At 42.5% G+C, this 25,711-nt stretch overlaps 1 protein-coding gene across 5 annotated transcripts in view, besides 1 other annotated feature; it reads left to right on the top strand.

The window, feature by feature from the left end:
* The window catches only part of CSNK2A1 (casein kinase 2 alpha 1), a 71,293-nt gene extending 46,880 nt beyond the window's left edge, over positions 1-24,413 (top strand). For 3 of the 5 annotated variants that reach the window (NM_177560.3, NM_001895.4, NM_177559.3), the window contains 7 exons: positions 1,109-1,192; positions 4,547-4,657; positions 7,030-7,131; positions 8,133-8,233; positions 9,336-9,484; positions 10,449-10,535; positions 12,835-24,413. In NM_177560.3, the coding sequence (NP_808228.1) occupies positions 1,109-1,192; positions 4,547-4,657; positions 7,030-7,131; positions 8,133-8,233; positions 9,336-9,484; positions 10,449-10,535; positions 12,835-12,950 (750 nt within the window). In that variant the 3' untranslated portion in view covers positions 12,951-24,413. The remainder of the gene's footprint in view (positions 1-1,108; positions 1,193-4,546; positions 4,658-7,029; positions 7,132-8,132; positions 8,234-9,335; positions 9,485-10,448; positions 10,536-12,834) is intronic. The other 2 variants (NM_001362771.2, NM_001362770.2) reach the window with 1 other exon arrangement.
* Positions 20,507-20,711: a silencer, noted in NCBI's record as "fragment chr20:456844-457048 (GRCh37/hg19 assembly coordinates)". NCBI's record gives its function as "represses an EF-1alpha promoter that drives an FKBP-Casp9 reporter gene in an ReSE screen in K562 erythroleukemia cells {active_cell/tissue: K562}" and the evidence as "EXISTENCE:reporter gene assay evidence [ECO:0000049][PMID:32094911]".

Below are 25,711 nucleotides of genomic sequence, written 5' to 3'. Positions count from 1 at the left end.
AGTAAACTTTAACTCAGTTCTCAAAGGGTAATTGTCCTAAGGATTGTGTAAATTTCTGCTTATAGATGCTAATTGAAAATTTACTTACATTTCTAAAGTGGGGTCACCAAATATCTTGTTCCCAGTAGCCACAAGATCAGCTTCCTAGAAGAGAGAATTGCTAAAAGTTGGCTAAGCTTTCTTACTAAACAAGAGTTGACATAAAGCCTGCTGTTGGAGCCTTAGAAATCCCCTGAGGAGATTGTGCCAGCAGAGATACTTGATCTTTCCATTGGCTCATGCAGTTTGTGGCAAGCAAGGCTTTAGAAAGTTACAGATATGATTGCCCAGCCCTGGGAACTGTAGGAACCCAAGTTGCCCTTCAGGAAGGACAAGAATTTGGCCAACAACGTCGGCTGACTGAAAGGCTGGGATTAACAAACCCCAAAGATTATACTACTCAGTTCCCTTTAGTTTGAGGTTGGAAACATTTCAGATTGGATTTGATGACCTAAATCAGGCATTGGCAAACTTCTTTAAAGGGCCAAATAGTAAATATTTTAGGCTTTGTGGGCCATGTAGTGTTTGTCACACTATTCAAGTCTGCTGTTGTTGCACAAGAGCAACCATAAACAATATGCAAACAAATAGGCATGGCTATGTTGCAATAAAACATTATTTACAAAAGCAGACATCAGGCCAAATTTGGCCTGTGGTCTGCCAACCTCTGTTACAGACTCTTAATGGCTAAAGAATTACTGTTCTTAGAATAAGAGGTTTGTAGTAAAGATCTGTTTTCTTTCTTTGAGGGGTCTGTGGAAATAATCTAGGATCTGGACAAGACAGAAAAATTTGAAGTGGTGCAATTTGGGTATACTTTGGGTCTTTTAGGACAGAAAACATGTTGAAACAACTGTGTCAGAAAAAGATCTCTAAGCTCAGAGAGCTGAGTTTGCTTGACTGTGAGATCATGAACAAGTCTCTGAAGCATTGCTGTGGAAGTGACTGTGTCCTCAGCTTGAATCCCAGGGGTATTGTGAGGCTAAAAGGAAAATTTACATGGAGGGAAAAGTAAAGGACTCTTACGTATTATTCAGGCTAACTCCTTTCTGACCCGTTCATCCCACAGGCCCTGGATTATTGTCACAGCATGGGAATTATGCACAGAGATGTCAAGCCCCATAATGTCATGATTGATCATGAGCACAGAAAGGTAAAGTGATAGGCTGACAAGTGTTATTTATCTACATGATGTAGCTAATTGCCCATCTTCAACACTTTATCCCTTGTGTTGTCACAGGCCCTAGTACCTATTCGGCAGTTGAGAAATATTTGGTGAATGAATGTACGAATTTACAAGTCAACATGTTTGAACCATTATTTATATTCCTAAGAATATTCCCAAGAAGGAAACATGAGTAAAGTGGGCAAAATGTTCATCTTCTAAGCCCGGAAACGTGGCTTCTCGCCTTATTTATTGAGTAACTGGTTTCCTGAGAAACTACTTTCTCTCCATTTGCCTTCTTTTTCTTACGTGTACAGTGTGGGTAATAATAGCCCTGCAGGCGACTAGGTATTCGTGAGAATTAAATGTGCACAGTTAAGTGGACGAGATATACAGAAAATGCTGTTTCTGTTTATTGGATGTCATAAGGGCCCTGTTGTCTGCAAATGCTTTTACATGAGAGCTGTAATGGCCACATGCTTTAGCATTTCAGTTTTTTAAGGTGACAAGCTGTGATGACTTGCCTGTTGTGGTCTCTGGGGAGGCAGGTGATTTATTTATGCAACTGAATTACTTTTAGACACACACCATGTCAGAGGCACCACCCTAGGGCTGGGGATATGTAAGTGAACTCAACATACAATAAATGCTTGTCTTTTAGGAGCTACATTTAGGGAGGCTGGTGGGATAGAAAGTTATTTTGATGTAGAAGAAAAAACGAATAGGGAATGGCAAGAGGGTATTTGCAGTTTTAAACCAGTTATAAGGGAAGGTTTCATTGGAAAGGTGACATTTTAGAGAGCACTGGGAGGGACCCAGCCATGCAGTCTTATGAAGAAACATGTCCCAAGGCAGAGTAAATAGCAAGTACAAAAGCCCTTCAGGTAAGGATATGTTTGGCATGTTGGAAGAGCAGCAGCAAGGATAAAGCTGGGACAGAATGAATGCGGGGAAAGAAGGAGGAAATGAAATCAAAGAGGTAAAACCAAATCATGTAAAACCTTATTGGTCATTGTTAGGCCTTTTCTCTGAAGATAGAGAGCTTTTGCATATTCTAAGCTTTAGCATGTTCTCACTTGAAATTTAAAAGTTAACTACACATTTATTAGAACAGCTAAAATAAAAAATAGTGATGGTACCAAGTGCTGGCAAAAATGTGAAGAAACTTGATCTCTCATACATTGCTGGTAGGAATGCAAAGTTTGGCATTTTGGAAAATGCTTAACTATTGTTTTATAGTTGGTTGGTTTCTTGAAAAGCTAAACATATGCTTACCATACAATCCTGCAGTGGCATTTATCTCAGAGCAACAAAATCTTAGGTCCACACAAAAGCCTATATATGAATGCAACTATATTTGTAATAGCTTAAAATTGGGGGGAAAAGCTGGGTGCAGTGGCTCACACCTGTAATCATTTTGGGAGGCCAAGGCAGGCAGATGACGAGTTCAGGAGTTCAAGACCAGCCTGGCCAACATGGTGAAACCCTGTCTCTACTAAAAAAATACAAAAATTAGCCGGGCCTGGTGGCATGCACCTGTAATCCCAGCTACTCAGGAGGCTGAGGCAGGAGAATTGCTTGAACCCCGGAGGCGGAGGTTGCAGTGAGCCGAGATCGTGCCACTGTGCTCCAGCCTGGGTGACAGAGCGAGACTGCGTCTCAAAAAAAAAAAAAAAAAAAAATGGGGAAAAGTGCCCTTCAATGAGGGAATGGTTAAACAAACTGGCATATCCATACCATATAATATTATTATGAAGTAGTATTTCTCAGCAATAAAAAGGAAAGAAGTATGACACATGCAACAACTTGGATGGATCTCATGCTTAGTGAAAAAAGGCAGTCTCAAAAAAAGTTATATGCCAATGACTCCATTTTTGTAGCATTCTCAAAATGATAGAGATAAAGAGCAGAGGGGTTGCCAGGGGTTGGGCTAACACACAGGACATGTGTGTGGTGATGGAACAGTTCTATATCTTGTTGAGGAGATTATATCAACTTACATATGTGATGAAATTGCATAGAAACACACACACAAACACATGCGTGCATGTAAAACTGGTGAAACCTGAATAAGATCTTTCTGAATTGTGCCAGTGTCAGTTTCTTGATTTTGATATTGTACTGTAGTTATGTAAGATGTTACTATTAGGGGAAACTGGGTAAAGGGTGCAGAGAATCTCTACTACTTTGGCAATTTCCTGTGAATCTATAATCTCTCCATAGCAACCTGAACAATCCTTTTAAAAAGCTGTTTATATTTATTTTTAAATATTTAATTATTTTTAAAATAACTATTAAACTATTTAGTATTTATTAAACTGTTTAGACTAGAGGGCAAGAGTGAAAGCAGTGAGACCAGTTAGGAGAAGGGGCTATGGCAATATATCAAACAAGAGGTGGTGGTGGCTTGGATCGGGGCAGTGGCAGTGGAGGTGATGATAATGGTCACAATATGATAGAACCTTCAGAATTTTTTGACAGATTAAATGTGAGGTCTGAGGGAATCAAGAATCCAGGGTGAATCTTAAGTTTTGGCTTGTATGACAGGATGAGTATCACCTTTAACCGAACAGGGGGAGACTGAGTGGAGGTGCTTTTGCAGGGAGTAATCAAAGGTTTAGTTTTGAGATACAGGCAGTAAACTTAGTGCCAGAGCAGTCCGATGTTTTTCCTCAGGGCCTACTGCTGGCACTTCAGATCATGGTCATGCTATGCACAGTGGGCAGATAAGCTTGCCTCTTACCCCTTTTTCCATGTTTAGGATGCATTTTGGTAAAAGCTGTATTGTATGACTTTTCTGTTATTTCATCTATCCAGCAAATATTTATTCATTTTTCTCCTGTATACCAGGCATTATGTTGAATTCTGAAAATTACAAAGGTGAATAAAACAGTCCCTACCCCTAAGGAGCTTGTCGTCCATATTGAAAAAGAAAGGTAGAAAACATAAAGAGTTTAGGTTCTGTTAAAGAAATATATCTAAAATTCAGGGGGCTGAAGGCAATGATCAGACTTCATTGAGAAGCTGACTTAAATATTCCAAAAGTTAAGGAAATGCTTACCAATAGGATTATAGGCTGGGTAGTAGGGACATTTTAGTCATTGAGCAGTTTAAGAAATTTGTAAAAGCACAGGTGAGATTGTGTCTTCCAGGAACAAAATCATGGAGAAAGAGGTTTGTCAAGCTAAGAAGTTTTATTTTCATTCTAAAGGCTATAAGTAGTCAGTGGAGGGGTTTCAGTAAAGAGTGACGTGTCTGGTATATTTTATCAAGAGTATGCTAATGGCACAGTGTGGGTAGCTTAGAGAAAGATAAGATTGCTCATGGTTTATTCTTTTTCAGCTACGACTAATAGACTGGGGTTTGGCTGAGTTTTATCATCCTGGCCAAGAATATAATGTCCGAGTTGCTTCCCGATACTTCAAAGGTCCTGAGCTACTTGTAGACTATCAGGTAAGAACAGAAGGGCAGGCACAGTTTTGATCCTGTGTTTATTTCGCACATAATTTACCAAAAAAAAAAAAGTATCATTTTGTGCATTTAGGTAGGCCACTTAATGCACATTCACAGCTGTCCTTTTTATATGAAATGTAAAATATAAATCACCTTAATTCATGTACCATGACTTACATTACTTTTATTGTCATAATGTCGGTAGAATATGAATAGGTTTGCATTTGATCCTGACTTGAGGGAAAGTAGCCAAAGATATGTTCTATAATCAGCAGTTCCAGAACTGTTTTGAATTGTAAGCTGTTTTGTTTTTGTTTTTGTTTTTGTTTTGAGACGGAGTCTCACTCTGTCGCCCAGGCTGCAGTGCAGTGGCATGATCTCGGCTCACTGCAAGCTCCGCCTCCCAGGTTCACACCTTTCTCCTGCCTCAGCCTCCCAAGTAGCTGGGACTACAGGCACCCACCACCACCCCAGCTAATTTTTCTTGTATTTTTAGTAGAGACTGGGTTTCACTGTGTTAGCCAGGATGGTCTCGATCTCCTGCCCTCGTGAGCCACCACGCCCGGCCTTTTGTTTGTTTTCTGAGGCAGGGTTTTGCTCTGTTGCCCAGGCTGGAGTGCAATGCCATGATCATAGCTGACTGCAGCCCCGAACTTCTGGGCTCAAGTGATCCTTCCAGCTTAGCCTCCTGAGTAGCTGGGACTACAGGCGTGCACTACCACACCCAGCTAATTTTTAATTTTTTTGTGTGTAGAGAGAAAGTCTCACTATGTTGCCCAGGCTGATCTCAAACTCCTGGGCACAACCCATCCTCACACCTTGGCTCCCCAAAGTGCTGAGATTACAGGCATGAGCCACCATGCCCATCCTGTAACTAAGTTTAACCAATCTTCAGAGTAAATTCAAGAATGTTTTCTTGTTCTTCTGAATTGTATACTAAATAAAAAGGTCTTCTCCCCAGCTCCCCCAAAAAGCCTTCTTTCTCCTCACAGAAAAAGGAGAAAGGAACCAAATTAATAATAGATTTGCCAAGTGTTTAAAAATCTGAAGTTTTCTTGGGAGTATCTTTTATGCCCAGTCTTTCCAGGTTATTATCAGTTGATTTTAAAAGTTTCAGACTTTTTGTTCTTGTAGGAATTTCTTTCTTGGGGTCTTAAGGCTATAGCCCTGAGTTCAAAAAGCATTTTATGCATAAAAATAGTTTTTACAGTATTACTAATAATTGTGAAAAACAGAACACTGTCCTATTATAGGAAAATTAAAGATTGAATTCTGAAACATTTATGTAATAAAATACTAATGATACACATTAGATGGTCTCCATGGGCTAACAATTTGGAGGTTTTTTTTTTTTTTTTTTCATGTAAGTGAAGAAAACAATTCAAAATAGTATGTATATTAGCTGAGCATAGTGGTGTATGCCTGTAATCCTACCTACTCAGGAGGCCTAAGCCCAGGAGTTGGAGGCTGCAGTGAGCTATGATCACGCCACTACACTCCAGCCTGGGCAACAGAGCAAGACCCTGTGTCTTTAAAAAAAAAAAAAAAAGAGCCAGGCACAGTGGCTCACGCCTATAATCCCAGCACTTGGAAAGGCCAAGGCAAGTGGATCACAAGGTCAGGAGCTCAAGACCAGCCTGGCCAAGATGGTGAAACCCTGTCTCTACTAAAAATACAAAAAAATTAGCCAGGCGCGGTGGTGGGCGCTTGTAATCCCAGCTACTCAGGAGGCTGAGGCAGAGAATTGCTTGAACCTGGGAAGCTGAGTTGCAATGAGCCAAGATCACACCCCTGCAGCCTGGGCGACAGAGCAAGACTCTGTCTCAAAAAAAAAAAAAAAAAGTAAAAATTGTTTTAAAACCGAGTGAAAGATGCATAAAAGAAAAAACTAAAAAAAAAACTAAAAAAAAAAAAAAAAGAAAAAACTAGCCAGGCACGGTGGGTCATGCCTGTAATCCTAGCACTTTGGGAACCTGAGGCGAGCAGATCATGAGGTCAGGAGTTTGAGACCACTGGCCAACGTAGTGAAACCCCGTCTCTACTAAAAATACAAAATTAGCCAGGCATGGTGGCACGCGCCTGTAGTCCCAGCTAGTCAGGAGGCTGAGGCAGGAGAATTGCTTGAACCCGGGAGGCGGAGGTTGTGGTGAGCCAAGATTGCGCCACTGCACTCCAGCATGGGCAGCAGAGTGAGACTCTGTCTCCAAAAAAAAAAAAAAGAAAGACTAAAAAGAAATATATGAAGATGTTATTAGTGTTTTGATTTTGAGTCAGTGGAGTGATTTTTTTTTAATTTTAAAAATTAATTTTTTATTTTGAAGTGACAAGCCTGAGGATTCACAGATAATAACAGTGAGTTTACTTTTATGCAGATGTACGATTATAGTTTGGATATGTGGAGTTTGGGTTGTATGCTGGCAAGTATGATCTTTCGGAAGGAGCCATTTTTCCATGGACATGACAATTATGATCAGGTAATATATGTTATACCCATTGAAAAATGTACTGGCCTAATGCAATGATAGCCAGCACTGCCTGTAACTTTCAGTTCACTGTTTATTCAGCCACCCCGATATTGATCCTTAGATTGATGTTTCGGGAGCTACCAGCTTAGCCTTTTGAAATCAGACATTCCCCCCTAGTCTTTGTCATTTGCATTGCTTATTTTATTGTGAAGAATACATATAAATTGTCATCCAGATTTTTAAAATAGGACATTACCTTAGAATTCTCCTAATAAACCCTTATCTCCAATATGGTGTTTTCTCCAATATGTGAGCCCATATGTGGTATTTCTGTGATCCTTTTGGCTCTTTATATGGGTTGAGTTACAGATGTTTCTTAAACTAACTCCACTTCCCCCTTGAAGATCAAAGGGCTCTTTCATTCACAAGAACCTGGAATGATTCTAGGACCTTGTGGAAGGTACCATTGTCTTGTTCCCTTTGAGCACCATGTCCAATTTTAATGAGTCAAAGAATACAACCTGAATTCCATTAAAGTCAATAACTCTGTATCAAGTGCATGCAGTACTGAGGAATACAGAAAAAAGAAAGAATAGTTTTCTTCCCCTCAGATAGTTCATAGCTGATCTTGTAAGGGAGTCAAACATACAACAAAATAGGTTACAGTCATAACTTCAGAGTAGAAATGTGGACAAGGCACAAAAGGCAGTAGTGGTGAGTAGTTTGAGTGTGCAATGGGAGCTTCCCAAAAGAAGTGACATCTTCAATTGGGTTTTGAGGGGAGAAAAATAAGGGTTCACCAGGGTGACATTTCAAGAGGAAGAAACCAGTTTATAAAGTAGTTTGCTTTTTCTAACACTATCACATTGAGTTGAAGTCTAAACTGTTAGGAGGTAGCATTCATACCTGTAGACATGATGACCCGTTTATGTAAATTCAATCATTGTTAATTGTTGATTTGTTAATATAATATGCTTGTGATATGGGTTTTTGTCTTTCTTTAATACTAGTTGGTGAGGATAGCCAAGGTTCTGGGGACAGAAGATTTATATGACTATATTGACAAATACAACATTGAATTAGATCCACGTTTCAATGATATCTTGGGCAGGTAAGTCATGAAACAAAATATGTGCATCTGTGGCTTAAGCACTTTGAGAGTGAACTGGCACTTAGGATCTTCAAAATAGTTATGTTTTCTTTGCCAGCACTGTCAGGATGTCAGTGGTCCAGTGCCACAGGATGCTGCATTGAGCAGGCCTCTGATAAAGGCATTGGATTGAATGGCCCTTTATTCAAATTAACTTACAGGAGTCTGATGGAGGGGTTATAGCTAGAGGATTCCTACAAAATGAATGTAGATTCTAGTAGAAGGGTTACAGTTGAGGCAAAAATCAAAATTTACCTTGCTTCTTTAAGTGAAAAACCTCTCTCCAAGAGAAAGAAATTGAAGTAGAAAATGCATGCTTTAAGACTGATGTGCAGGCTGGGCACGGTGGCTCATATCTGTAATCCCAGAACTTTAGGAGGATCACTTGAGCCCAGGAGTTGGAGACCAGCCTGGACAACATAATGAGACCCTCGACTCCATGCATGGTGATGTGTGGCAGTAGTCCAGACTACTAGGAAGCTGAGGCAGGAGCTTCCCTTGAGCCCAGGAGGGAATGCTACAGAGAGCAATGAACATGTGGCTGCGCTCCAGTCTGGGCAACAGAGTGAGACCCTGTCTCCAAAAAAAAAAAAAAAAAGGCTATATGCAGACAACCGACTCTTAACAGTAGTGACTAGATATAGTACTTATACACTTAACCACTCAACAGGAGGAGATGGACTTTCCTGATGCAAAGGCTTTTGCTGGCCAATTGGCAGAGATGCCAGGAATATGTGTGGGGATGGGAAATAGGCCTGGTGAGCTCAGCCACCTGACCCTCCTTGCTACACAGAAGCGGTCACGTCCTGTCAAGTAACCTGAATTATGTTTCTTAAAATTGAGAGGACTCAGATGTCTTTTTTCACTCTAGCTATGTTGTTTCCAGTCTCCAGTTAGCTTTGTTGTCCCACTCAGTGGCAGAGCGGTGCAAGACTACCCTCTTGAGTTTGGATCCCTCTTTGCTTTTGTCTGGGCTGTTAGCCACTAAGAAAAATGTAGGAATGAAATGTTGGGCTTCTGTGCCCACGTGGCCCATTTCTCATGCCCTCTTTTGGTCCTGCAGACACTCTCGAAAGCGATGGGAACGCTTTGTCCACAGTGAAAATCAGCACCTTGTCAGCCCTGAGGCCTTGGATTTCCTGGACAAACTGCTGCGATATGACCACCAGTCACGGCTTACTGCAAGAGAGGCAATGGAGCACCCCTATTTCTGTGAGTCCAGATATCTAGCCCACAGAGTTTGTGCAGGCGCAGAGTCCTATAGAACAGAGTCGTAATCCCAGCTCCTGTCAGCTTGCTGCAAAGTTAATTCACCCACACTGAGCCTCAGATTCTTCCAGTGGGGATAGTGATGGCAACTACATTGCAGAATTACTGGAAGAATTCTTCTGTAACAGAATACATGACACAAGAGCATTCCTAAATAAACTCTTTTCATACTGTGAGGATGACACTTCTCAGTGCCTCAGTCTGGAATGGTTGAATTAGAATACACAGCCCTGTATCTTTCCTGTCCCTAGTAATCATTCGTTGGAAAGAGCTAATGAGGCTTACAAATCTTAAAATTGTATGAACACCTTGACTTAGATTTGTGAGTATAGCCACCTGTGCCATCCTAAGTGAAAATACCACTGAGACCCACCCCATCTGCACTGTGATGTTAGCTGCAACATGACATTTTTCCTTCGGTGTGATGGTTTTGTACTGAATCATTTATACTTTTGCCCAATACCTGAAGCAGATAGATAGGCTGATTGGGATAGAGAATGTGGTCATAGCCCTAAGCTACATGGACCTATAGCTTTGGCCTACTTGGTACTGGGCTGTGGACACACTGGTAATATATTACCGTCTTTGCCGAGTTACAGTGTCTTGTCTCCATTAAACCTCAACAGGACCAGGGCTTCATTAAATTCGCTCTGCTATAAATAATTACCTCATCTTTCTACCATTTGATTGAAAGGTTAGCTTTTACCACAGTTTGATAGGAAAGCTATTTCTGCTTTTTACCACTTGTCTAATTCATGGTGAAGGCAATTGCCACCTTAAGTTCTTTGGGGAATAATGTAGAGTATATATAAATTGCAAAGAATGAAGCTGGCTGCTTTCAGGCTTCCAGACCATTAGTTTAATCTTTCAAGCAAAACAGAACCTAGCCTTTTTGTCTCTTTTCTAGACACTGTTGTGAAGGACCAGGCTCGAATGGGTTCATCTAGCATGCCAGGGGGCAGTACGCCCGTCAGCAGCGCCAATATGATGTCAGGTCAGTTCATTGGTAAATTTTCTTTAAAAAAATGTGGAAGTCAATTACTGTTCTTAGCTTTGTGGTCTGATTTCTTGTATACCTTCTCTTCTCCGTACTGGTGGCCTTGTGACTTTTTTTTAACCAGGTTTCAGCATGCTTGACATTTGGTATACTTTAGTGATACTGTCTTGAGTAGGGTATCCCCTTCTAGGCTAGAATCTCAGCATTCCTGGCTGAAAATTTTTGGCATAGGGGCTTGAAAGTGCCAAGCCATGAAAAGGAAAAATACACCATTTCATCTTATAGTTTGAAATGACAGTAGTTACATGGCCCTTAGAAACAATGTTAAGAAATGGGGTATAGAGGTGGGGTTTATACATAGGTGTGTATGTGTACAAGGACAGTTCCGTGACATGTGCCAGAGCAACTATAGAGTGCCTATCAGTTGTAAAAACATAAGTAAAATGGTTTTCCATTATTGGATCATTGTGACGCACAGTGAATTTTTATAGAGTACCCAGTTATTCCAAAGGAACTACAGGCACATAGCATAAGAATTATACATATAGGCAACATCCAAGTGGGTGCATATCTGGTAGTGAAGGCATTTACTTACATATCCTCAAATAATTGCTGTTGCCCTCCTCTTTTTTAAGAAAAGAACTAACTGCCTTCTAGAATTTACCCCTTGAGTATCCTACCTCTGTACAGAGTAATGTATATCCAAACTTACTTGTAGCCTTATTTGTAATAACAAAACATTGAGAATAGCTATCAGTAGGAAACTGGTTAAATCAGTTATGGTATATCCATTTAATGGAATGTGGTGCAGCCAGTAGAATAAGAGTTTCATGTTCTGTTAGATCTCCAACTCCAATATAATAATGTGAAATTTAAAACGCAAGATGCAGGGCCAGGTGCAGTGGCTCATGCCTGTAATCCCAGCACTTTGGGAGGCTGAGGCGGGTGGGTCACTTGAGGTCAGGAGTTCGAGACCAGCCTGGCCAGCATGGCGAAACCCTGTCTCTACTGGAAATACAAAAAATTAGCTGGGCGTGGCGGCGGCGCCTTTAATCCCAGCTACTTGGAGGCTAAGGCAAGATAATCGCTTGAACTTGGGAGGCAGAGGTTGCAGTGAGCCGAGATCGCACCGTTGCCCTCCAGCCTGGGTGAGAGTGAGACTCTGTCTCAAAAGAAAAAGTGAGATGCAGAGCCATGTCTAAGAGGAGTGGAGAAGAATGTATAATAATGTTCTCATATATATATATATATATATATATATATTTTTTTTTTTTTTTTTTTTTTTTTTTTTTTTTTTTTTTTTTTTGGAGACAAGGTCTTGCTCTGTGGCCAAGGCTGGAGTGCAGTGGCACAATCTCAGCTGCTGCAGCCTCCGCCTCCCGGGTTCAAGCGATTCTCCCACCTCAACCTCCCAGGTAGCTGGGACTACAGGCGCCCGCCATGACGCCCAGCTAATTTTTGTATTTTTAGTAGAGATGGGGTTTCACCATGTTGGCCAGGCTGGTCTTGAACTCCTGACCTCAGGTGATCCGCCCAACTTGGCCTCCCAAAGTGCTGGCATTACAGGCGTGAGACACTGCACCTGGCCTTTGTATACTTTTTTGAACCTTTTGTATTTTGAACCATGTGAATGTATTACCTGTGTGTACACACACACACACACACACACACACACACAAAAACATGATTAGAGAGGTGGAAGAAATCAAATGGAAATAAATTCCAAAACACAATTTTATCTTAGAAAATGCTCTTTCCCCATTCAAATTGACTTTCAGTAATTTTGAAAGCTGCCAGCTATCAAGACAGCATGGTGTAAGAGCACATGAGCTTTGACTGCAGTCATGTGCTGTTCAGTATGGTAGTGACTAGCCACGTGAGGCTATTTAATTACAATTGAATAAAATTTAAAATGTAGTTCCTCAGTTGCACTAGCCATATTTCAAGTGCTCAGCAGCCACATGTGGTTGGCTACTGGTCACCAGGGTGGACATCTCTGCCCTAGACAGGCCTGGGTTAGAATCCAACCATGGTTGCCACTTGCTTAATCGTGTACTTTGGACAAACTCCTTAAATTGTCCAAGCCTAGATTTCTTTACCTGTCTCTTAAATTGATTAGGACTTGCCACTTTAACTTGAATTTGTGAGGGTCAGACTTGAAGTATATGTAAAAATCCAGCTAAGAGGAAGTCTTCAGTAAAGAATTATTGTGTTCCTTTTGCAGTGAGTGCTATGAGAAACTGGTAAGATTGCCATGGTTGGTGTCTTTGGCTCACTGACAGCTCTTTTCTTTCAGGGATTTCTTCAGTGCCAACCCCTTCACCCCTTGGACCTCTGGCAGGCTCACCAGTGATTGCTGCTGCCAACCCCCTTGGGATGCCTGTTCCAGCTGCCGCTGGCGCTCAGCAGTAACGGCCCTATCTGTCTCCTGATGCCTGAGCAGAGGTGGGGGAGTCCACCCTCTCCTTGATGCAGCTTGCGCCTGGCGGGGAGGGGTGAAACACTTCAGAAGCACCGTGTCTGAACCGTTGCTTGTGGATTTATAGTAGTTCAGTCATAAAAAAAAAATTATAATAGGCTGATTTTCTTTTTTCTTTTTTTTTTTAACTCGAACTTTTCATAACTCAGGGGATTCCCTGAAAAATTACCTGCAGGTGGAATATTTCATGGACAAATTTTTTTTTCTCCCCTCCCAAATTTAGTTCCTCATCACAAAAGAACAAAGATAAACCAGCCTCAATCCCGGCTGCTGCATTTAGGTGGAGACTTCTTCCCATTCCCACCATTGTTCCTCCACCGTCCCACACTTTAGGGGGTTGGTATCTCGTGCTCTTCTCCAGAGATTACAAAAATGTAGCTTCTCAGGGGAGGCAGGAAGAAAGGAAGGAAGGAAAGAAGGAAGGGAGGACCCAATCTATAGGAGCAGTGGACTGCTTGCTGGTCGCTTACATCACTTTACTCCATAAGCGCTTCAGTGGGGTTATCCTAGTGGCTCTTGTGGAAGTGTGTCTTAGTTACATCAAGATGTTGAAAATCTACCCAAAATGCAGACAGATACTAAAAACTTCTGTTCAGTAAGAATCATGTCTTACTGATCTAACCCTAAATCCAACTCATTTATACTTTTATTTTTAGTTCAGTTTAAAATGTTGATACCTTCCCTCCCAGGCTCCTTACCTTGGTCTTTTCCCTGTTCATCTCCCAACATGCTGTGCTCCATAGCTGGTAGGAGAGGGAAGGCAAAATCTTTCTTAGTTTTCTTTGTCTTGGCCATTTTGAATTCATTTAGTTACTGGGCATAACTTACTGCTTTTTACAAAAGAAACAAACATTGTCTGTACAGGTTTCATGCTAGAGCTAATGGGAGATGTGGCCACACTGACTTCCATTTTAAGCTTTCTACCTTCTTTTCCTCCGACCGTCCCCTTCCCTCACATGCCATCCAGTGAGAAGACCTGCTCCTCAGTCTTGTAAATGTATCTTGAGAGGTAGGAGCAGAGCCACTATCTCCATTGAAGCTGAAATGGTAGACCTGTAATTGTGGGAAAACTATAAACTCTCTTGTTACAGCCCCGCCACCCCTTGCTGTGTGTATATATATAATACTTTGTCCTTCATATGTGAAAGATCCAGTGTTGGAATTCTTTGGTGTAAATAAACGTTTGGTTTTATTTATCAAGGTTAGATTTAAGTTCCCTGTGTAAAGGTCTTGCTGGGTGGGTGTCTCATGTTCACATCTGAGGGGCCTGCAGCCCTGTACCGTGGAGGCTTCCCAAGGCCCCCATTTTATACACCCCTCGTTCGACCCATGGTACCGGGCAGAGCAGAGAGGCCTTAAAAAAAAAGCACCACAAGCCAAAGCGTCTCTGGGGATTAAGGATCCTTTGCCATAAAACTCATTTTGTGTCTCAGCAGTGCAGGGATTGGGGATGGAAAAAGTCGCCAGTTTTTGTGTGTTTGTGTGTGTGTGTAAAGTGGACTTTCCACTGTAATCCAACCACCTAAGTTTATCAGGTGCTTCACTGAGGAAGCCTAGTTTTTTAAGCACAATAGCAAAACCATCAGCTCTGTATTTTCTCCTGTTATTTCATTACAGTAGCTGCTTGTGGGAACTAGGAAAAATTCTTCCAACATATTTTAAGGCCTAAAATCTTAGTTCCCCATTCTCCTACCTTATAGATTCACAGGCCTTTCTCGCCTAGGCATCATAGATAAACGTAATTGTTTGGGGAGTTGAATTTAATGAACTTATCTAACTTTGTAACCCATCTTGGCTTTAGTAACTTTATCAAGGTGGTGGCTTTAGTGAATATAATGGTAAACTTTAGAGGACGCTAAAGCCTCCTTTTATAGCGCTTCTCAACGGTAGGGAGAGCTGAAGGGAAAACATTCTGACTGTGTGGCAGGGTGATTTTCTTCCTTATGACCACTTACAGTGGATATTTATTGTACTTGACCCTTTTATGCCCTAGAATGCTGTGAGGGTTACCATGTTGAATTTGTGCAGAAGCTAAAAGCACCAGATGTGCCAGAGATGCAATTTGTGATTATGTTTGCACTGGATTGTGATTTGAACAGGACACTTATAACTAATGAGTTCTTTCTTTTGAGGTGGGGAGAGGGTTGTAAATCAAGACTTCATACCCTATCCTTGTAGCTCGGAAATTGAGGTGTAGCTTAGGCTGATGCGGAGAGCTGCAGACAGCTGGACCTCCTTACACCCATCAGACCTTGGAATAAACCGAAGGTGAATGCAGAGGACTCTGAGGTGCCACCCAAGAGCCTTTTAAAATAAATAGAAGTTTTTAAAAATGCTACTTAAGAGTCACTGCAGAAGCATGGAGAGAGAGAAAAAAAAAAAAGACCCAATTGGGTGGGGGGTGGGGGGGAGGCAAGGGTTTACAGAGTAACAACTTACGTGTTGTTGTAAATTACCTCATCTGTATACCTTGTATTGGGACACTATTTCTCAGCACTACCTGTGTCTGCATTGCTTAGATGGCAGGAAATGGAATGGCCAACATGAAAGGTTATGTTGGCAATTACTCTGAAAGATTTTTTAAAGTATTTTTAAACTTTGTTTGAAGTGGTCCCTCCCCTCTTCCTCTGCTTTTTTTTAAGTTTGAAGCCAGAAGGCCCTCCCCACCTTGCTTTATTGGTTGTAATTGTATTGTAATTGGTATGACTAAACCATAACTGTGCTGGGAAGAAGTTGTGCCATGAAGGTCTTTAATTTTTTTTAATAAAAACATTTAAATAAATGAAATGTCCCTGCAGCCTGAGCAATATGCTTCTCCAACCGACACCGTGTGTGATAGATGGCTCCGTTTTCACGTTTTGAATTCTGTTTCTTGTACTTGAAATGCCTGTCCAGCTTACATAAGATAGATTAAATTGTTAGAGTGGGACTGTCAGAGGAATATATCTTGTAAAGTAGATCCTCAGGGTATGGCTAATTACTATAGTCCTAAAGTAGCAGAGAAAATTAGAGATTGGTTGACAGATTTGGGAATTTTAATTTCTTCTTAGTTTTTAACTTTCATCTTTGCTTCACCTTTTGACAAGTATGGTTATAATTAGAATTGACCATTTAAGCATCTCTTGAAAAACCTGATTTTGTCCCACCAGCAAATTCTCTCCCAAGACTGGAATTGGGTTTGCATAGTAGAGAGCCTGTCTTCCCAGGGCCTTTTCCTAGTTAAAGAAACACTTAACTAAAAAGGCTGTGTGGTAAGGTCATGCTCAGTTCCTTCCTCAAAAAATGAGTCTAAAATTGGTTTATCCTGAATCCGACTTCCCCCACTGTCATCACTTACCCTTGCCCTTCTTTTTCCTCAGAACACCTGAACTTTTGTTGTATTATTTTGTATCTCCCCACTTGCATGTAAACTCCCTGGTGACCTTGCATGTCTTATGCAATCCTCATTAAAACCTTTTGTTTTTTTTTTTAAGTGGGTTCGTTTTCCCTCAGGATCGAAGAGTATTGAATGGAATGGCACGAGGAAAATATTTAACACCCTACTTGGCTTGTAATAATAGGTGCTTAATAAATTGTAGTTCCACTCTCCACTCCATTGCCCCCTTTCTCTCCCTACACACACACACCCACCCACCCACACACACACACACACACACACAAAGTAAATGGAAGTATTGTTGCATAAAGAGCATCTCAAAATCCTAAGAACTTTGCCCTTGAGTTTGCAGCTATAATTACAAGCCACAGGCCAGACTGAACTAACATGACAAGTAACTTTATTTAATGAGACCCTGATAAATAGGTATCTGAAGACTAAGGAATGATCCTGGCCAATTTAGTAGACTTAGATGCTGCAGTCTCCCTGCTTTTCCCCTGCTGTATTACCTGTGTGTAATATAGGTTGAATATCCCCTATCCAAAATGGTTGGGACCAGAAGTGTTTTGAATTTTTTTGGATTTTTGGAATATTTGCGGAATACATACCAGTTCAATATTCCTAATCTGAAATTTGAAATATTCCAAATAGCATTTACTTTAGGCATCATGTTGATGCTTAAAAAATTTCAGATTTTTGAGGATTTTGTATTTTCAAATTAGAAATGCTCAACGTGTAATACGAAATTCAGACTATTCTCCAAGTAAAACATATGTAGATGGTGTCACAAGATGTTCTGGACTCAATCCTATGTAAATAAGTACTTCCTAGACTTTATAGCTCTCCTTTGATTCTGTGCTAAATTTAACCATTAGAGAAGCAATGTAATGTTACTGCAAGTGGTCTACCTCTAACAGAGTTCTGTCTGGCAGTGTGATTTTTTTGATCAGTTAACCTCTCTGAATCTTTTCTTCACAGGTGATTTAAATTGTTATTGTAAAACATTTTAGGCATGTACCAAATTATAAAGAAAGCTGTAACACATCCATAATCCTACCACCCAAGTTGAATTTCCATTGCCAATACAGACCAAGCCCCCTTTTTGCCCTTTTTTGGTGATACCCTCTTCTTCCTCCCTTCCCCAGAGGTCCCAATATTTCCTATCTGTTAAATTGGGGTATAAGTACTGATTTCATAGAGCGGTTGTTCAGATTCTATGACAGATGCCTGGTATATGGTAGAGTTACACCAAATGTTGGTTTCTCTTCTAAATTGTACAGTTGTGCAGACTATGTACAGTAAAAGGATGCTACATTATAGGGAGGCCATAGATGTTTGCATTTGGAAAATTTCTGACTCTTTTCCAGCAGGTGGCAGTAAAGTGTCTTTACTAGAAGAAAAAATATCCAAGCATTAAACATGACAGGTTTTCAACGGGTACAAGTCAAGTTTCTGATTGAATGAAGGCCAGCATTGCCTTGTTCCCACTCCCTCTATGGAAAGCCAGATATTTTGCACTGTAGCAAATTACAAACTGGATTTGTCTCCCTGTCGCTCTACTCACTAGAAGTTTTTTGTTTGTTTTGTTTTTTGATACGGGTCTTGCTCTGTTACCCAGGCTAGAGTGCAGTAGCGCCATCACAGCTCACTGCAGCCTCAACCTCCCAGGCTCAGGTGATCCTCCCAACTCAGCCTTCCAGGGACTACAGGCACGAGCCATCATGCTTGGCTAATTTTTTTTTTTTTTTTTTTGGTAGAGATGAAGTTTTGCCGTGTTGCCCAGGCTGGTCTTGAACTCCTGAGCTCAACAGTCTACCCGCCTTGGCCTCCCAAAGTGCTGAGATTAGAGGCATGAGCCACCACACCTGGCCCACTAGGGATTCTTATTGGCCTCAATGTGAGAAGCCCTTCCCCAGGTACCTCCAGATGGAAGCTTACAGGATGGTCAGTCCATTTCTTAGAGAAGTTCCTGGGGGGATTGAGTATTTCTGAGTCAGCTTCACTCTTGCATCATCTGCTTTGACAGTTTTCTTGGCTCCTGTAATGAGAAAAAGGGAAAAAAATGCTGCAGCAGCTGGGGCTGGCTTCCTGATCCCACCCTGGGAATCAGAGTCTCAGCTATTGATAAACATTTCTAGCCATACCTAGAAGGAGAGGACCTTGCTTCTGTGTGTTGAACAGTTCCAAGAACTCCATGGTGAACTTCCTATGAAGAACCCTCCATAACCCTCAACCCTTCAAACCTGACGGTATACCTCATTTTGTTCTCCCGTCTCTGGCATTCCTCACCCACCCACGCTGACTGGTCTTTCCAAAGTTCATTTCTGTAATATAGGATGTCTTTGGTTTCAACAAACATTTGTAAGTGCCCCTGAGCCTGGTCTTTGCTATACACTGGGGATTGAGAGGTGAGACACAAGCCCATGGGGAAATGTATGTTAATTAGAAAAGTGAAAAAATTGTGTATATGGGATAATTCCAACTGTTTTAAAAAAAAAATCCTAGGAAAAATGCAAATGCCTATTTCAGAGAAAGAAATGGAAATCCCAAGGTGGCAAAAAGGAAGGCAGAATTCATCCTGAATGTAACTGGGGTTTTTTTGTTTTGTTTTGTTTTGTTTGTTTGTTTTGTTTTTGAGACAGGCATGGGATTACATGCACCACCACGCCCAGCTAATTTTGTATTTTTAGTAGAGACGGGGTTTCTCCATGTTGGTCAGGCTGGTCTCGAACTCCCGACCTCAGGTGATCCGCCCGCCCAAGCCTCCCAAAGTGGTGGGATTACAGGCGTGAGCCACTGCGCCCAGCCTAAGTGGGTATTAAAGTCAGTGCTTCCAAGACACTGGGTCTGGGTATAGGTGGGCCTCAGGCTATGGACTAGGGTTTGAATGCCCCCAGGGAGATAGGACACAGACTCCCGGGCTTTCTAAGATAGAAACTGAAACAATGCTGTGGCACTTGGAAAGGCTACAGGGGCAGGATTGAGGTGGTGGGGGTGGTAAAAACTAGAAGAATACTAGCTGTTGTTGCCTCTGGGTGATGAGGTTAAGATACCACGGAAGGCCCACACACCTGTGGTTGGAACACTTTGGGAGCCGGGAGTCCCAGACCAGCCTGGACAACATGGCGAAAACCCACCTCTACAAAAAATAGATTAGCTGAGTGTGGTGGTGTGCGCCTGTGTCCTAGCTACTGGGGAGGCCAAAGGACGAGAATTAATTGCCTGAGCCCAAGAAGTCAAGGCTGCAGTGAGGTGTGATTGTGCCACAGTACTCAAGCCCAAGTGACAGAGCAAGACCCTGTCTAAAAAGATTTTTTTAAAGTCACAGAAGCTGGGCGTGGTGGCTCATGCCTGTAATCTCAGCTCTTTGGGAGGCTGAGGCAGGAGGATTGCTTGAGGCCACGAGTTGGAGACCAGCCTGGGCAACATAGGGAGACCCTGTCTCTACCAAAATTAAAAATTAGCTGGATGTGGTGGCACATGCCTGTAGTGCTAGCTACTCTGGAGGCTGAGGCAGGAGGATCACTTGAGCCCAGGGGTTCAAGGCTGCAGTGAGCTATGATAGTGCCACTGCACCCCAGACTGAGCAACAGAGTGAGACCCTGTCTGTAAAAGAAGTTGTTATTAATTGAAAAAAAGATTTAACAGGCTGGGTGCAGTGGCTCACACCTGTAATCTCAGCACTTTGAGAGGTGGAGGCGGGCGACTCACTTGAGCTCAGGAATTCAAGGCCGGTCTGGGAAACATGATGAAACCCTCTCTACAAAAAATACACAGATTAGCTGGGCATGGTGGTGCATGCCTGTAGTCCCAGCTACTTGGGAGGCTGAGATGGAGGAATCAATTGAGCCCAGGAGGTTGAGGCTGCAGTGAGCCATGATTTCACCACTGCACTCCAGCCTGTGCAACATAGGGAGACCCCGCCTCCAAAAAAAAAAGTAACAGAAAAACTCACTAGGTGCCGGGCATGGTGGCTCACGCCTGTAATCCAACACTTTGGGAGACCAAGGCGAGTGGATCACCTGAGGTCAGGAGTTTGAAACCAGACTGAACAACATGGTGACACCCTGTTTCTACTAAAAAATACAAAAATTAGCTGGGCTTGGTGACGTGTGCCTGCAGTCCCAGCTACTTGGGAGGCTGAGGCAGGAGAATTGCTTGAGCCTGGGAGGTGGCGGTTACAGTGAGCTGAGATCACGTCAGTGTACTCCAGCCTGGGTGACAGAGCCAGACTCCATCTAAAAGTAAAAAAGAAAAACTCACTAGGAAGGAATCTTGAAGTCTTGGAGAAGAGAGAATGGTCCATGAGGCCTCAGAGGAGGGGCTGCCTGAACTGGCGAGGGAGAGGCCCAGCCTAACAAGTTTCAGCTGCCAAGGCCCATGCCTGGGATCAGAACCCTGTCTCCTGGCTCAATTTTGCTTGTGGGGCTGCTTTTGCACAGCTATGTTGCCAGGAATCTGTCCAGGTTCCTAGCCAGTCATTGCAGACAAATTTTTTCTTTCTTTTGCTTTTGTTCTCTGTCTAGTCTTAGTCTCACAAATTTCTAAGGCAACTGTATGTAGTTCAGCTGATCTAGATCAAGTTCAGCCCAAGCAGCTGTTTTTCAGGTTGTGGGTCGGCTGGGCTGGACACCTCCATGTGAATTGGATTCAGGTTTGCCCAATGTGGCAGAAGTTGCAGCAGCTACTCAGGGCGTGCTCTTCTCATGAATCACAGAAACTTAGAAGAGACCAAATGGAATCACACAAGCACATTTCAAGCCTCTGCTGTGTCACAAGCACCATCATCCCATTGGCGAAAGCAAATCACATAGCCAAGCCCAACATCAGTGCAGTAGGGAAGCATAGAGCCTGTGTTGGGAAAACTTTATGAGGTTATATGGCAAAGGGTGTGTATGTTTAGTCTTATTACAGGGGAATGAAGAAACAAACCAATAATGCAATCAGCCATACTATTCATATATATCAGTAGGAACAGAAGGCAACCACATATAACATCTATGTATATATATATGTGTGTGTGGAAAGGATTACACCAACTTTTTTTTTTTTTTTTTGAGTCAGAGTCTTAACTCTGTCACCCAGGCTGGAGTGCGGTGGCATGATCTCAGCCCACTGCAACCTCCACCTCCCAGGTTCAAGCGATTCTCCTGCCTCAGCCTCCCAAGTAGTTGGGATTATAGGCACATGCCACCACACCCAGATAGTTTTTGTATTTTTACAAAACAACAGGGTTTCACCATGTTGGCCAGGCTGGTCTGGAACTCCTGACATCAAGTAATCTGCCTGCCTCGGCCTCCAAAAGTGCTGAGATTATAGGCGTGAGCCACCGTGCCCGGCTGAGAATACTTGTTTACTTGTTTTCAAGCAACAAAAATTGAGAATCAGTCTTTGAGACTCCATGGCCAGAAACAACACAACATTCCACTATACACAGGGTGCTTCTGGGGGTCCTCGGTGTTGTGTTTATTGGGGTGGTACCTAAATGTTGTATTTGCTCTATAATTATTTGTTAAACTCTCCATTTACGTTTGGGGCACTTCTCAGTATATTTGCTAGAGTTCAAATGTTTAAAAGTTTACAAAATGAAAACTGAGCAGAGTAAGACAAGCCAAAAAAGTATTAACTCAGCAGGAATGGGAAAAGTTATGAAAGGAGGGAAAACTAAATATCATACTGCTGGTTCAGCTGTGATTAGAATTTACGTAGTCATAATGGAAACACTGAATACTGGTCTAACCAGGATTACAGTATGATGACAATGGAAAGAGGAGTGATGGGAAATGCTGGCATGTGTGGTGGTGTTGGTAACAGGACAAGCGGTCTAAGCTCTAAACTCTCATCATTTATAAGGGGAACTAATGCCTAAAACTGAAAAATCAAACAGTTGCATGTTATTTTGAGATTTTTTAAATTATTGTTAAGATAGTAGCAGTATTTACTTTTAAAACTATATTTATGTATTACTCTGGTGAAAAAGCAACTACTTTTAATAAATGGATATTTATCTTGAATGCATCCACTTCCTCCCATTCCCGTTGCCAAATTCCTCATCCCAGCCACCATCCTCTCTTGCTTGGAGTATCATAGCAGATAACTGGTCTTGATGCCTTCCCATCTCGTCTCAATTCCTGATTCATCTGACACCTGCAACCAAAGATCTTTCAAAAATAAATATTCTAGTCCAGGCACAGTGACTCATATCTATAACCCCAGCATTTTGGGAGGCCAAGGCCCGATGATCACTTGAGGCCTGGGTAACACAGCGAGTCCTCTGTTCTACAAAAAATGAAAACATTAACTAGTGTGGTGGTGTGTGACTATAGTGCTAGCTACTGGGGAGGCTGGGTGGGAGGATACGTTGAGCCCAGGAGTTGGAGGCTGCAGTGAGCTATGATCACATTGCTCTCAGTGAGACCTGGCTGACAGAGTGAGAACCTCTCTCTTAAAAATAATAAATAAATTTTATCTCAGTCCCTTGCTTAAAAGCCTTTCAAAGACTAGATCACTTGCAATGTTGTTGTCTCCTCCCAAGGGAGTCATTCCTCCCTTCCTCTTTGTTGACAGAGCCCCAGTTTGAGGGACAGCGGGATATCCACCATGCTGCTGTGAGACTCGGGCAGTTGTGACTGGTTTAGAAGTGGATACACAGGGAGAGGTCTTCTGGAAAAGGTCTTCTGGAGAGCTGAGATCAGAAGACAATCAACTGGCTTCAAATCTAAGGAGAGACAGGCACAAAATGGAAGAGATGACATGGGCACTGGTTACCTGGTAAACACAAGTGGACACTGGTGAGGGACTGGGTCATGGAGACTGCAGTAGTCTTTACCCTTTTCAGCGTTTTTCACCATGAACCCCACTGGGAGCACACAGAAGATTGGAGAAAGTTTTAATAAAATGTCTCAAGATCTGGAAGAAGACAATGGCAGCTACTGTGAAAGGATCACAGTGCTCCACCCAGACCCTTCCCTGTATCCCCTACCGGACAAAAGCCTTAGTCTGTGGAGGGAAGGACACCAAATCCTGTCACCCCCTTGGATGAAGCTCCCTTGCATCTGGGGGAATGAAACAGGAACAAAACAAAACTTTCCCTGGGCAGGGGCAGGAATACACACTGGGCCCAGAACTGGGGGAGGAACAGGAGCACTAAGGAGGACATAACCCCAAAATCAGAGACACAAAGGGCCTGACAGAGACTGAGACTTGATCAGAACAGAGAATTCCCTCCTCCCCCACCTGCCAATGGTAAGCTGACAAGCCTTGAGTTAGAAGTAAAAATGTTACAGGAGAGAGACAAGAGTATGGGAAGAAGACCCTTTCTGAGGGTCACAAAGGGAGGACCTAAAGCTGAGCAGGGAGCACACATGGAAGGAGAAAATCCCTCTGGCAGGCCAGCCTGCACCCTCAGTCCAAGGTGTCATTGGAGGAACTGGAAGCTGCTGCATTGGGGGTAACCATAGCAACAATAAACCTCAAACCTAGCCCAACTCTTTTTTTTATTTACTTTTTAGAGACAAGGTCTTGCTCTGTTGCCCAGGCTGAAGTGCAGTGGTGTGATCGCAGCTCACTGCAGCCTCAAACTCCTGGGCTCAAGCAATCCTCCTGCTTCAGCCTTTGTAGGAGATTGGTCAGGGTGGTGGGAGAAATTATAGGAAAGACACAAACCTTCTTGGAAGGCCGAGAGGTTTTGCAAAAGCTTCAGAAAGAAATTATGGCTGAAGGCAGCCAAATTCTTATCTGAAGCCTGAGAGCAAAGGGCAGATAACAGGGGAGTTGTATAGGAACTTACCTAGATAAATTTGTTTATTCCTGTGTCCAGAAACCAACCTTTGATCATTCACACACAGGACTGCTGTCTACTTGGGATGTTGACAATGTTTATTGCCCACAAATTGTGTTTGCTCCAAGCCTTTGTCATTAAATTTGTGCTAAATAAATGTGAGGGCCACCAGCTTAAGGGGACTGCTAACTCTCTTCGGCCCCTAGTGCTGGCAGTCCCCTAGCCTGCTCTCTCACTGAATATCTGTGTCTGAGTACTCCTTTCATCTGTCACTCGGCCAAAGTCTGTGGGACAGACTCGGCAGGTGATTCCCTGTGTGAGGAATGCTGCAACAGATCACGACGGAACCCTCGAAAATGAAGGTGAAGAGACTGCGCAGTCAGTAAGTCATTGGTGCCTGTTCAGCATTTCCAAGTTCAAAGGAATTGCTCAAGCTAGGGACGATCATCATGGGATGACAGTTGTCATCATGGGACAACAGTTGTCAGCTCAACAGCAACAGTATATAAAAGTAGTAAAACAAATGCTGAAAGTTAGCAGAGCCTCAGACAGGCTCAATTATGGGACCTAATGCAAACTGTTGTTTCCCATAACCCATGGCTCTCGGAAGAAGGTACACTAGACGTAGAGCTCTGGGAAGAAATTTTAACATCATGAGCAAGGGCAATGGGTCTCAGTAACATCTTTAACGTTATGGGCTTTAGTTAGGACTGCTTTGGTCCCACTCTACACAGAAAAGCCTAAAAAAGTAAGGGAGATGGAACCGTCACCTACCCTACCGTCTCCTCCTTCTCCCTCAGCCCAGCCATTAACAGGCAAAAATAACAAAGAGGAAACAGAGGTTTTGCCTGAGCCCCCTCCTCCAATAAATTGGAAAAAGACAAGGGATACACTACAGCTTTGGGACCCTGTCTTAGCCAAGCGGCATCAGAAGGGGAGCTCTTAGCCTGCCCAGTAATGCAAGATCGACAAGGCGATCAGGTATATGAACCCATTTCTTTTGACGCTTATAAAGAGATAAGAAAAAAACGTTAAAGAAAATGGAGCTGCTAGCCCATTTATGAAAGGAATAATTGAAGCCATAGCAGACAACTTCTTTTGACGCTTATAAAGTGGTAAGAAAAAGCATTAAACGGAGCCACTAGCCCATTTACAAAAGGAATAATTGAAACCATAGCAGACAACTTCCATATCACCCCATGGGACTGGTCAGTGCTAGCTAAAACAACTTTAAAGGCCAGTCAGTACCTCCTCTGGAGGGCAGAATTTGATAAATTGTGTGAACAGCAAACCTTTCTAATAATGGCCACTGTTATTCCTCCCCTACCCCTGACATGGCTCTCTCAAAATCCTATTTGGGTAAAACAGTAGCCTTTAAAGAGAGAGAAATTACAAAAAGCCCATGAATTAGTGGAAGAACAATTAAAAGCTGGCCATATAGAACTGTCAAACAGCCCTTGGAATTCGCCCATTTTCATCATTCCCAAAAGGTCTGGCAAATGGAGACTTTTGCATGACTTACAGGCTATCAATGCTAA

Source organism: Homo sapiens, chromosome 20 (assembly GCF_000001405.40).
Source record: "Homo sapiens chromosome 20, GRCh38.p14 Primary Assembly".
Lineage (NCBI taxonomy): Eukaryota > Metazoa > Chordata > Mammalia > Primates > Hominidae > Homo > Homo sapiens.
This window is presented reverse-complemented; position numbering and strand designations above follow the sequence as displayed.